Source organism: Homo sapiens, chromosome 4 (genome assembly GCF_000001405.40).
Source record: "Homo sapiens chromosome 4, GRCh38.p14 Primary Assembly".
Lineage (NCBI taxonomy): Eukaryota > Metazoa > Chordata > Mammalia > Primates > Hominidae > Homo > Homo sapiens.
This window is the reverse complement of record NC_000004.12, coordinates 17,600,833-17,613,237: the sequence shown is the minus strand read 5'-3', so window position 1 is coordinate 17,613,237 and position 12,405 is coordinate 17,600,833. Positions and strand designations below refer to the sequence as shown.

The window sequence follows — 12,405 nt, the reverse complement described above, 5'->3', positions numbered from 1 at the left end:
GGTCTCGAACTCCTGAGCTCAGACAATCCGCCCGCCTCGGTCTTCCAAAGTGCTAGGATTACAGGCGTGAGCCACCGTGCCCAACCTTCTTATTTATCTCTTTAAAACCAAATAACTTTTTTTCATTATATCTGATTTTACAGTTATTACCCAGCACACTTACTGAGCGCTCCACTTCCCAGGCACTATTTAATGATCTGGAGGTTATAGCAATCATCCCAAATCTCTGGAAGGAGACAGACAAGCACATAAATACATAGCAATATTGTGCAGAGAGAAGAGCTGGGAAGGAAAATGAAACCCAGTAAGGGGATGGCTAGTGAGAGGGGTGTTCTTTGAGATAGGTGATTGGAGGAGGCCTCTCCAAGGAGATCTGGACTGTAGTGACTGGCATGAAAATTTAACTAGGAGTGCTTTCTACACCGAAGGATCCCTGAAGAAGCAGCCTGCCTGGGATGTTTAAGGAACCACAGGAAGCTCATTGCCAGAGGAGTGAGCCAGGGCAGAAATGTTCAGAGAAAAAGCAGGAGCTTCCCTTTGCCAACCAGGCTCGGATCAAGTCATCTTCCCAGCCTCAGTTTCACTTAGATCCCCACTCCTAAGTACTTTCCCCTGTTTAATTTTCTTCACAACATTTATGTAATCTGAAATTATCTTGTTCATTTTTTCATAACTGAATCACCTGCCCTCCTCCTCCTTCTCTCTCTGTCATACACATGCCAACTAGAAAATAAGTTCCGTGCATCAGAGCCTGCCCATCTTATTCACCTGTATCCCCAGAATCTAGAATGGTGCCTGGCATAATAGATATAATAAATATGTGATGACTGAAAGAACCAGAAGAGACCGCCAGGAGGAAACAAGCCTACTCCAGCAGTTTTCAGACAGTTTTGGTCTCAAGACCCCTTTACACTCCTAAAAATTATTGAGGATCCCAAAGTTTTTGTTTATGTGGGTTAAGTCTGCTAATATTTATCTGATAAGTTAAAACTGAGAATTTTAGGCTGGAGGCAGTGGCTCATGCCTGTAATCCCAGCACTTTGGGAGGCCGAGGCAGCCGGATCACAAGGTCAGGAGATCAAGACCATCCTGGCTAACATGGTGAAACCCCATCTCTACTAAAAATACAAAAAATTAGCCAGGCGTTGTGGCGGGCGCCTGTAGTCCCAGTTACTTGGGAGGCTGAGGCCGGAGAATGGGGTGAACCCAGGAGGCAGAGCTTGCAGTGAGCCGAGATCATGCCACTACACTGCAGCCTGGTTGAGAGCAAGACTCCGTCTCAAAAAAAACAAAAACAGAATTTTAAAAATCAATTCATTAAAAAATAATTCATTAAATGTTAACAAAAACAATCTTTATTAAAACTAATACTCTATTTTCTAAAATAAGGAATAAGTAAAAAGTATGGCATCATTTTACTTTTTTGCAAATCTCTCTCTATATATATATATTTTTTTTGAGACAGGGTCTTACTCTGTTGCCCAGGCTGCAGTGCAGTTTCACAATTACAGCTCACCATAACTTCCGCCTCCCAGGCTCCAGCAATTCTCCCAATCAGCCTCCCAAGTAGCTGGAACTACAGGCATGTGCCAACACACCTGGCTAATTTTTTGTAGAGATGGGGTCTTGCCATGTTGCCCAGGCTGGTCTTGAACTCCTGGGCTCAAGCAGTCCACCTACCTCGGCCTCCCAAAGTGCTGGAATTATAGGAGTGAGCCACCGTGCCCAGCCTTTCAAGTCTCATTAATATCCAGTTTACCTAACCTCATTGTAAATTTCCTGCGAACATGGTCAGTGGTATTTCTCTTGCAGTCCTCCTAGAGTACTGCACAAAAAAGCACTAACATTTTTTGGATTTTGCTGAAAACCCATCACTTCATTTATAAGATGAGAGAACACTGCCTTAGAAAAATTACTAAGAACAAGATAATCTATGTAGAGGTTTAATACTGTGCCTTGCATAAACTAAGTTGCTAAGGAGTGACACGATGTAACTCCTATTTTTAATTTTTAGAGATAAGGTCTCACTATGTTGCCCAGGCTAATCTTGAGCTCCTGGCCTCAAGTGATCCTCCCACCTTGGCCTCCCAAAATTCTGAGAATACAGGCATGAGCCACTGGGCCCGGCCTGATTTATGTTTTAAAATAATCTTTCTAGTCATACAGATAACAGGAGAACAAGTGGAGAAGGCAGGGAGACCAGTGAAAGAGAGTAATCTAGGAGTGCAGAGAGGATGGTGACTTGTACCAGGGCAGTTGAGACAGCGGTGGTGAGACTTGGGTCAAATAAACATGATTTGTTTAACAACCAACTGGTTGGGAATGGAATGTTAGTATGATTTGAATGTACCTTTTTTTGTTTTGAGAGGGAATCACGCCCTGTCACCCAGGTTGGTTTTGGAGTGCAGTGGTGCAATGTTGGCTCACTACAACCTCTGCCTCCCGGGTTCAAGTGATTTCTCCTGCCTCAGCCTCCCAAGTAGCTGGGACTACAGGCACATGCCACCACACCCAGCTAGTTTTTGTATTTTTAGGAGACACAGGGTTCGTGAAGTTCCTGGCAGCTAGATGTACATTCAGTGACAACTATTAAATTTCATCTCAGCCAGGCACGGTGGCTCACATCTGTAATCCCAGCACTTTGGGAGGCCTATACAGGTGGATCACTTGAGGCCAGGAGTTCGAGACCAGCCTGGGCAACATGGCAAAACCCATCTCTACTAAAAATACAGAAACTAGCTGGGCGTGGTGGTGTGCACCTGTAGTCCTAGCTACCTGGGAGGCTGAGGCATGAGAATCGCTTGAACCTGGGAGGCAGAGGTTGCAGTCAGTTGAGATCGTGCTACTGCACTCCAGCCTGGGTGAGAGAATGAGATTGTCTCAAAAAAAAAAATTTCATCTCAACCAGATTAGGTAAGCCACATGAAACCAGGGCCTGTGCTATGCTTTTTGTATACCACACACTAGTAAACACAGGAGTTCCACTGTTCCTTTATCCATAAAAAGCCTTTGACAGAATCCTTCTATCAAAGCCCGACTGAGGCTCTGTATCACCCAGAATAAATCTGTTTTCAGTTTTCTTCATAAGCCTGTAATTCCAACCCTCTAATTCCATCTTTCCTGATGAAGTGACTTCTGAACATGAATAACCAGGGAAACCTGTGTTTGCTCACTACACTCACCGGGTTTTAATTCTAATAAATACCACAAACAAGCATGCCCATTTCCATTCCCTCTGTAAACCAGTTTAGATATACAATATTTTTGCATGTCAAATTTCTTAAATGTTAAAATTAACAGTAACAAAGAGCTTTTCCTGTTAAACATTTTCAAAGTTAAAAAAAGGGCACACATCCCATTGATGGATTAATTTGATTCATCGGATACAAAAGTAAAAACGAGGAGAGCTTTGTTCTAAGTCTGCACCAATGGAATTATGTTGATTGGTTATAGTTTCAGGAGGTGAGCAAACAGTTTTACCCGTTGACAGTCCCCGTTTTTTTTTTTTTTAGGAGATGGGGTCTTGGTTTGTTGCCCCAGCTAGAGTGCAGTGGCTCATAGCTCACTCATAGCTCACTGCAGCCTCAAACTCCTGGGCTCAAGCAATCCTGCCCCAGCCTTCTGAGTAGCTGGGACTACCGGTGCACCACCACAACACCCAGCTTATTTAAAATTTTATTTATTTATTTTTGAGACGGAGTCTCGCTGTTGCCAGGCTGGAGTGCCGTGGCATGATCTTCGCTCACTGCAACCTCCACCTCCAGTGATTCTCCTGCCTCAGCCTCTCAAGTAGCTGGGATTACAGGCATACACCACCATGCCCAGCTAATTTTTGTATTTTTAGTAGAGACGGGGTTTCACCATGTTGGCCAGGATGGTCTCGATCTCCTGACCTCAGGTGATCCACCTGCCTCGGCCTCCCAAAGTGCTGGGATTACAGGCGTGAGCCACTGCACCCAGCCTTAAAAAATTTTTTATAGAGACAGGGTCTCACTATGTTGCCCAGGCTAGTCTCAAACTCCTGGGCTCCAAGTTGTCCTCCCACAATGTCTCCCAAAGTGCTGAGATTACAGGCATGAGCCATTGCATCTGCTGTCCCCCCCGCCACCTGCTTTTTGTTTTTTTTGAGACTGAGTCTAGCTCTGTCGCCCAGGCTGGAGTGCAGTGGTACGATCTTGGCTCACTGCAACGTCCGCCTCCTGGGTTCAAGCAATTCTCCTGCCTCAGCCTCCCAAGTAGCTGGGATTACAGGCATGCGCCACCACGCCTGGCTAATTTTTTTTGTATTTTTAGTAGTGACGGGGTTTCACCATATTGGCCAGGCTGGTCTCAAACTCCTGACCTTGTGATCCGCCTGCCTTGGCTTCCCAAAGTGGTGGGATTACAGGTGTGAGCCACCGTGCCTGGCCTGAGACAGGTTCTTGCTCTTTCACCCAGGGTAGAGTGCTGTGGCATGATCAGGGGGCTCACTGCAGACTTGACCTCCAGACTCAAGCAATCTTCCCACGTCAGCCTCCCCAGTAGCTGGGCTCAGCTGACAGTCCCTTTTATGATCGTTTCTTTTTTCAGCACACTGTTGCTGGCTTGAATTCTTTTTAAAATTTAAGAAAATAGAGACAAGGGTCTAACTATGTTGCCCAAACTGGTCTCAAACTCCTGGCCTCAAGCAATCCTACTGCCTTGGCCTCTCGGAATGCTGGGATTACAGGCATGAGCCACTGTGCTTGGCCTGTGGTCATGTTTCTTACTTCAGTACTTCAAATAAATTCTACATCCATTCAAGTCACTGAACTGAAAAAGAGCACTGCAGTGTACCAGTGCAGCAGCCAGACCACCTGGCTTGAACTTTGAGCTACCAGTTACTTGCTCTGTGACATCAGTGGCATGTTACTAAACTTCTCTTGTGCCTCGTTTCCCTCATCCGTCATATGAGGGTAATAACAGTACCTGTCTCATTGGGTAGGACTCAATAATTTAACACCTGAAAACACTGAGGACAGTGCCTGGCAGATGGTAAGTCAACAATGGTTACTATTATTCTGACTGATTCATTTTGGAAATCATGGGCCAAGCCACTATTACCCAAACTGATGAGCTCAATCCCTGAGTACCTTTAAGTGATGAGGAACATTGAGAAAATACATAAGCCACTGTGCCCCAATTTAATTACATAGTTCATACAACATGGCTACAGAGACGAATGATATTCTAGTAATAAGTTACTGGGTTTGTAGCAATATGTAAGTAAATATCAGAGCCACACCAGAGAGCACAACAAGTTGCATTTATTGTTTCTGACAAGTGCATAGTAATTTTCAGTTTGCTCATGTTCCTAGCATCACAAATCTGAGTTACAATTTTGCTTCTCAATGAAAAACATATACTCTGAAAAGTGATTAGGAAGTTCTAAAAATTTTAATCATTTATAGAGTATCTTAAAAATCCTTATCAAGTAAGATATTAACTTTACCTTTATAAATCTTTGTGTGAAATGAAAAAAAAATCAAGGCATACAAATTTCATTGTGTTCTACATTTTTAAATACCATCCTTTGTCTCCGTTAAAAGATTTTCATCCATTTATTCAAAAACCTTTTAAGTTCAACTGTCCAATTTAAGACAGAGTGAAGACATTTTTGAGTATCTGAACTAAGCATTGTCTTGACTGAAACGAAGTAAGAACTCAATGAGAGTCCTTGTGGGCCTCCCAGTCATGCCTTTCCGTAGATAGGGAACTTCATCTTTGTTGGTCATCACGCCTGCTATGTCTAAATGTGCCCACTTAGGATGAGTTACGAATTCTTTCAGGAATGCTGCAGCTGTACATGCTCCTGCAGATCTGAAGAGAAAGACAAAAAGCACTTTACAACCCCATGTAAATGTGCACTGAGATCCCACATTTTTGCTAAGTACATTCTATAACCAAAGAACAAGAGTCAAGCTTGTAAGACCTATTAAGATGCTAACCCACATATCAGTTTCAGAATATTTATTTTCAGATATTGCTTTAAGCAGTAAAGGATAAATTCTATATTCCTTTTTGCTATGGTAATGAATTCCCATATTTTCCATCTCTTTCCCTTACCATTTATTGAAAATTACCATTAGATTAGAAATATGCAAATTTTGAAATCTGGTTGAAGAAATACTTGAAAATTCAAGACATTAAAAATCTTACAAGCACTACACCAAAAGGAAATTAAATAGTTAAACCTTTTATATAAGGGGATAAAATTGAAAATAGCTATTTTGGCAATCAAGGATGATTGTATAAATGTACATTTAGCTTAGCTTACATACCTGTATTTTCCAATGTTGTTAACATCAGCAAGCTGGCAATCTACAACCTGTCTTGTATAATGTTCGAAGAGAGGCATCCTCCAGACACGGTCCCCTGTTTCAATGCTGGCCTAGAGAACAGGTATGACAGGTGGAAGAGTGGATGAGGCAGGTTGTGGGAAATTCATGGCATTAACATGCTCAATGCATGAAGGAAGAGTTGTTCTAACCTGTTACTCTAAAACATGAAACTAGAAAATAGGTTTCAGAATTGTGTCCACTCATTAAAAGATTTATTTTAGAACTATAAAAGAAACCAGGAGGCTGGGGACAGTGGCTCACGCCTATAATCCCAGCACTTTGGGAGGCCGAGGCGGGTGGATCACGAGGTCAAGAAATCGAGACCATCCTGGCCAACATGGTGAAACGCTGTCTCTACTAAAAATGCAAAAAATTAGCTGGGCGTGGTGGTGCGCGCCTGTAGTCCCAGCTACTCCGGAGGCTGAGGCAGGAGAATTGCTTGAACCCAGGACGGGGAGGTTGCAGGGAGCCAACGGAGTGCCACGGCACTCCAGCCTGGCGACAGAGCGAGGCTCCGTCTCAAAAATAAATAAATAAATAAAAAATAAAAAGAAACCGGGAATGCTGTGAAGCAATTTCACAAATCTGTAGGGCATTTTGCTAAAATCATCAAACTACAATTACAGGCTTTGTGGGTTGATGAGGGTGAAAGAGTTCTTATGTGGCGGGTCACTTCTATGTGACAGAAACACACGACTGGACCTGTATCACTGAAATCCTGAGACAGGATGACCACATTCATTCATTCATCACTTACCCACTCACTCATTCATCGTTTACTGAACTACTGAGCACCACCAGGTGTGCTGAAATACTACCATCTGAGCCACCCAAGGGCCTACAGGCTAGTAGGAGAAACAGATACATAAACAGATTATTTAACTCACTGGTAAAAAATCAAAGACCTAAAAGTGAAAAATCAAGAAGCAGCAATATAAGCTGTTATTTTAAGACATAAGTAAATACCAGATGAATCAGCCAAGGGTTGAAAGTGGCTGCCTTCTGGAAAACAGACTGTGGGCTGCTGATTGTTGATTTATGCACATATAACTGAGATTTTTTTTTTAAAGCTTAAATGTTTTTTAAAAGTCAAAACAACAATATTGTGGGTGCCATGAAAGAGAGGGATAACGGTTATGTGGGAGGCCAGAGGAGAGGTTCCTGGCCCGGCCTGGAAGAAGATGATGGGGCTGAGTATTGCAGAACTGGGAAAATTGGGCTTCGTGAATGATGACATATATGAAGGAGAAGCAGTTTAGAGTGAAAATAAGTTTAGACCTTAAACCACCCTCAGGATTATATTTGGGGACATTTTATGTTTGTCTCCCCTCCCACTGGCACAGAGTAAGCTCCCATTAATTACTAGTTGAATGAATGAGTAAGCAGCCAGCTGGAGCTGTCTAGCAGCCACATGGGTACACAGAGGCTGGGACTCGGGAGAGAGATGGGAGCCATCAGGCAACATGTGTTGGCTGGAGCTTCCATGTGAGGAATGTGTAGAGTAGGAAGAGCCTATGGCCTTGAATTGAACACCAGCCAAAGGGCGGCCAAAGGGAACAAACACGTCAGGAGACAGGAGCAGGAGAATCACAGGAGGCAGCCCAAGAAAGGATTATCACAGAAGCTGAACCAGGTGTCAGGAGGCCACAGAGTCACCTGCTGCCTCAAGACAGGCTGAGTTAGGCTAACAGTGGTGTGGACATTCGAAAACCAATGGCAGTAAGTGAGGGTGTGTGTGTGTGTGTGTGTGTGTGTGTGTGGAAGTGAGGGTGACTGCTGGGAAGAGGCTGGCTGTGAAGGGCATGGAGGGAGGCACAGAGCACAGCGGTCTGAAGACATCCTCATCGATGCAGGGTGAACTCCCTTATATGACTCACGACACGCAGTCACAAACGCTGCTCCACAAAGCCATCTTCAAAACCATTTCTACCTCAGGGATTCTAAAACTATGACCACAGTGTTCGTGAGATATTTTCACAGGACGCTGAGGCTACCGGAGGGGAGCAGGGGGCATCATCCCCTCCTTTAGGAGCATTTGTGGAAAACCCAATGCCACTGAACTCAATCTATTGCTGTGGTTCATTTTCAATTCAAAGGCAAACCTGCGGCATAAAAATCACTTTAACACAGGGTTGAAGAAGTCTATCCTTCTAAGGCTAGAATAATTTATTCACCATCTCTACAATTTAGATATACAAATATTATTCCTACCTCGAAGAGTTTGTTCCAGAGCCAGGATGAATTGGTAAAGACCCCAGTGGCACCTGATCCCAAAGCTACATCCATGGCACCTGTAAGACACAAGCCCTCAGGTCACGTGCAGTCTCTCCAGGCAAAATGGGCTCCTCCGCCACCCAGATGGAAACCTTAGCATGTACCCTATTTAATGGCTTCCTCATTTTCAAAAATAGATAAGCTTAGGAAATCTTTCCTGTACATACTTAACATATTTTTATGTTTTTCAGGCCAGAATTCACTTAAATTATTAGGAAATGCAAAAAAGGAACCTACTGAATTTGACCAATAATTTCATTTTAGGGATAACTGTTAACCTATTTTTGAAATTTCCTTCCAGACATCTAAACCTTTTTTTTTTTTTTTTTTTTTTGAGAAAGGTCTCACTCACCCAGGCTGCAGTGTAGTGGTATGATCAGAGCTCACTGTATGCAGCCTCAAACTCCTGGGCTCAAGTGATCCTTCCGCCTCAGCCTCCTGAGTAGCTGGAATTACAGGTACATGCTGCCACACCCAGCTAATTAAAAATTTCTTTTTGGGCCGGGCATGCTGGCTCACGCCTGTAATCCCATCACGGGTGGGATCACCTGAGGTCAGGAGTTCGAGACCAGCCTGGCCAACATGTAGAAACCCCGTCTCTACTAAAAATACAAAAATTAGCTGAGCGTGGTGCCTGTAATCCCAGCTACTCAGGAGGCTGAGATAGGGAGAATTGCTTGAACCCAGGAGGCGGAGGTTGCAGTGAGCTGAGATCATGCCATTGCACTCCAGCCTGGGTGATAGAGCGAGATTCTGTCTCAAAAAAAAAAGAAAGAAAGAAAAAAAAAAAAGGCCAGGCGCAATGCCTCACGCCTGTAATCCCAGCACTTTGGGAGGCTGAGGCGGGTGGATCACCTGAGGTTGGGAGTTTGAGACGAGCCTGACCAACATGGAGAAACCCTGTCTCTACTAAAAATACAAAATTAGTCGGGCGTGGGGTGCATGCCTGTAATCCCAGCTACTCAGGAGGCTGAGGCAGGAGAATCGCTTGAACCGCTTGAACCTGGGAGGCAGAGGCTGTGGTGAGAGCCGAGATTGCACCATTGCACTCCAGCCTGAGCAACAAGAGCGAAACTCTGTCTCAAAAAAAAAAAAAAAAGATTTCTTGCTGTAGAGATGGGGTCTCATTATGTTGCTCAGGCTGGTCTTGAACTCCTGGGCTCAAGCAATCTTCCCATGTCAGCCTCCCAAGGCACCAGGATTACAAGCATGAGCTATCATGCCCAGCCCAACTTCTAAATTTTCATAAAAAACAAGGCCATCCTGTATGTGCTCAAGCATGTGTTCCTCCTTTTTTGAGACAGAGTCTTGCTCTGTTGCCCAGGCTGGAGTGCAGTGGTGCGATCTCAGCTCACTGCAACCTCCACCTCCCGGGTTCATGCCATTCTCTCCCGCAGCATCCTGAGTAGCTGGGACTACAGGCACATGCCACCACACCTGGTTAATTTTTTTTGTATTTTTAGTGGAGAGGGGGTTTCACCGTGTTAGCCAGGATGGTCTTGATCTCCTGACCTCGTGATCCACCCACCTCGGCCTCCCAAAGTGCTGGGATTACAGGTGTGAGCCATCGCGCCTGGCTGTGTTCTTCCTTTTATGCTTTAAAAATTTATCCTATTCCTCTTTGGCTGGGCGCGGTGGCTCACACCTGTAATCCCAGCATTTTGGGAGGCTGAGACGGGTGGATCACTTGAGGTCAGGAGTTCGAGACCAGCCTGACCAACACTGTGAAACCCCGTCTCTACTAAAAATACAAAAATCCGAGTGTGGTGGCGCATGCCTGTAATCCCAGCTACTCAGGTGGCTGAGGCAGGAGAATGGCTTGAACCCAGGAGGCAGAGGCTGCAGTGAGCTGAGATCGTGCCACTGCAGCCTGGGCAACAGAGTGAGACTCCGTCTCAAAAAAAAGAGAAAAAATTATTCCTCTTTTATAAACAAATGTTGGAAAATATTTTTAATGATGTAAAAATAGTCCACTGGATGGAGATATCATAATTTAAGGAATCTAATTTTTCAGCAATTTTAATCACATCTAAGTACTGCTATAAGACTTTGATGGCTGTTATTACTGCATAATATTTACTTGTTTCATCTTTAGTTTTTTCTCCAACAAAGTTGTGTCCCATTGGCTGACTTCTATTTTTACATTAATTAGCATATTTTTAAAAAATCAACTTAAAAATCCAGATTTGCAGGTCCTCTTGAGAAGAGACAATCAGGTACAGCCACTTAGTGCTGCCTCCTTTAGTTGTGGTATGAGCTCCTAGTAATCTCATTTGTTATTTGCCTGGCCCATCTGTAAGCGCTGAGTCAAGGAACACGTCTGCTTCCTAGGCATATCCTTAGGGCCCAGAAAGCACACTGCCTGGCATAAAGGAGCTAAGTATTTATTGAAAGGAAAAGCAAACCTTACTATCCTTCAGTATCAGGACAAGCACTGAACCCACCACCATCAGTACCAGGACACACATATGGAATGTCAGAGGAGGCAGCACTGAAACTGGGGGCAATCTATAGTCTTCACAAGGTGGCATTTGCTCCCTGCAATGCAAAGTATGTCCAAGTTGCTCCTTAAATTCTTAACCATGTCTTTACATGAAACTGCTCATTAGCATCTCTCCCAAGGAAAACTGAAACTTGAAGATAGTACTAACTAGTCAGCCCTCCGTATCCGTGTGTTCTGCATCTATGGAGTCAACCAAATATTTTGGAGTCAACAGAAATATGACTATGTTCTGTTGACTATGGAGTCAACAGAAAATATTTTGAAGCGGGGGAGATGGCTGCATCAGTACTGAACATACACGGACTTTTTTTCTTGTCATTATTCCCTAAACAATACAGTGTAACGAATATTTACATAGCATTTACATTGTATTAGGCAGTATAACTAATCTAGAGATGACTTAAGTGTACTGGAGGATGTACATAGGTTATATATAAATACTATGCCATTTTACATAAGGGATGTGAGCATCGTGGGTTTGGTATCTGAGGGGGGATCCTAGAACCTATCCCCCACGCATACTGAGGGACAATATATACATACCTATTAATACTTTACAAGTTAGTGGTTTTTTATATAATTATTCACTTGTCCTCAAAATATTTCAGTCAACCCCCTAAGAGTCATCTATCAGTTTTAAAATTTGTCATAGAAAAGATGAACAATCCCCTCAAACAAGACCATGCTATCTTCCCTTAAAGTAATAAAAAATGGCAGACATAAGTATTTAAGGTGGTCCAGTTGGGACCACGGCTCTAAAGATGATTTTATTATATAGCTAAATAGTTTATTCTCTATAATTCCAGAATTATTTCCACAGCCCATTTCAGAACTACTAGTAGCAGAGGCATACTTCCCATTTTTATTTACAAGGCACGTTTGGAGCCCTGTGTTGTGATGCTCACTGATCAATGTTACCAGAATTGCTCATAGTCTGGAAGAAACATCAAAGCCCCAAGGAAAGTGAGGATAGCACCACACTCATTCAATCCTAAATTATGCCCAAGCATTAAGAAAATGAAAAGAAACACTGTGATTGGATATGGCCATCCCCGAATATGTCACTGTTCCTACAATCTGGGGTACGGCCTGCCTTTCAAAGGCAAAGGACAGTAACATCTGTTTCAGTGTCTATGATGTACTGGGCCATGGACATCAACCTGTATTGTCTCATTTAATCTTCACGGCATCCTTCCTGTGAACGAGGTGCTATTATACCCCTTTTATGGATGAGACAACTAAAGCCTAGTCCAACTTTTAACGTGCTAT

The 12,405-nt window shown here is 43.5% G+C and overlaps 1 protein-coding gene and 1 long non-coding RNA gene across 3 annotated transcripts in view; one reads left to right on the top strand and one right to left on the bottom strand.

The window, feature by feature from the left end:
• Nucleotides 1-12,405, top strand: part of MED28-DT (MED28 divergent transcript) — a 28,339-nt gene that overhangs the window by 1,343 nt on the left and 14,591 nt on the right. The gene's annotated exons all lie outside the window — the stretch shown is intronic.
• The window catches only part of LAP3 (leucine aminopeptidase 3), a 30,773-nt gene continuing 23,635 nt past the window's right edge, over nucleotides 5,268-12,405 (bottom strand). The window contains exons 11-13 of the mRNA NM_015907.3: nucleotides 8,571-8,650; nucleotides 6,300-6,409; nucleotides 5,268-5,838 (exon numbers count right to left, since the gene is read on the bottom strand). Coding sequence (NP_056991.2) covers nucleotides 5,649-5,838; nucleotides 6,300-6,409; nucleotides 8,571-8,650 — 380 coding nt within the window. The 3' untranslated portion in view covers nucleotides 5,268-5,648. The remainder of the gene's footprint in view (nucleotides 5,839-6,299; nucleotides 6,410-8,570; nucleotides 8,651-12,405) is intronic.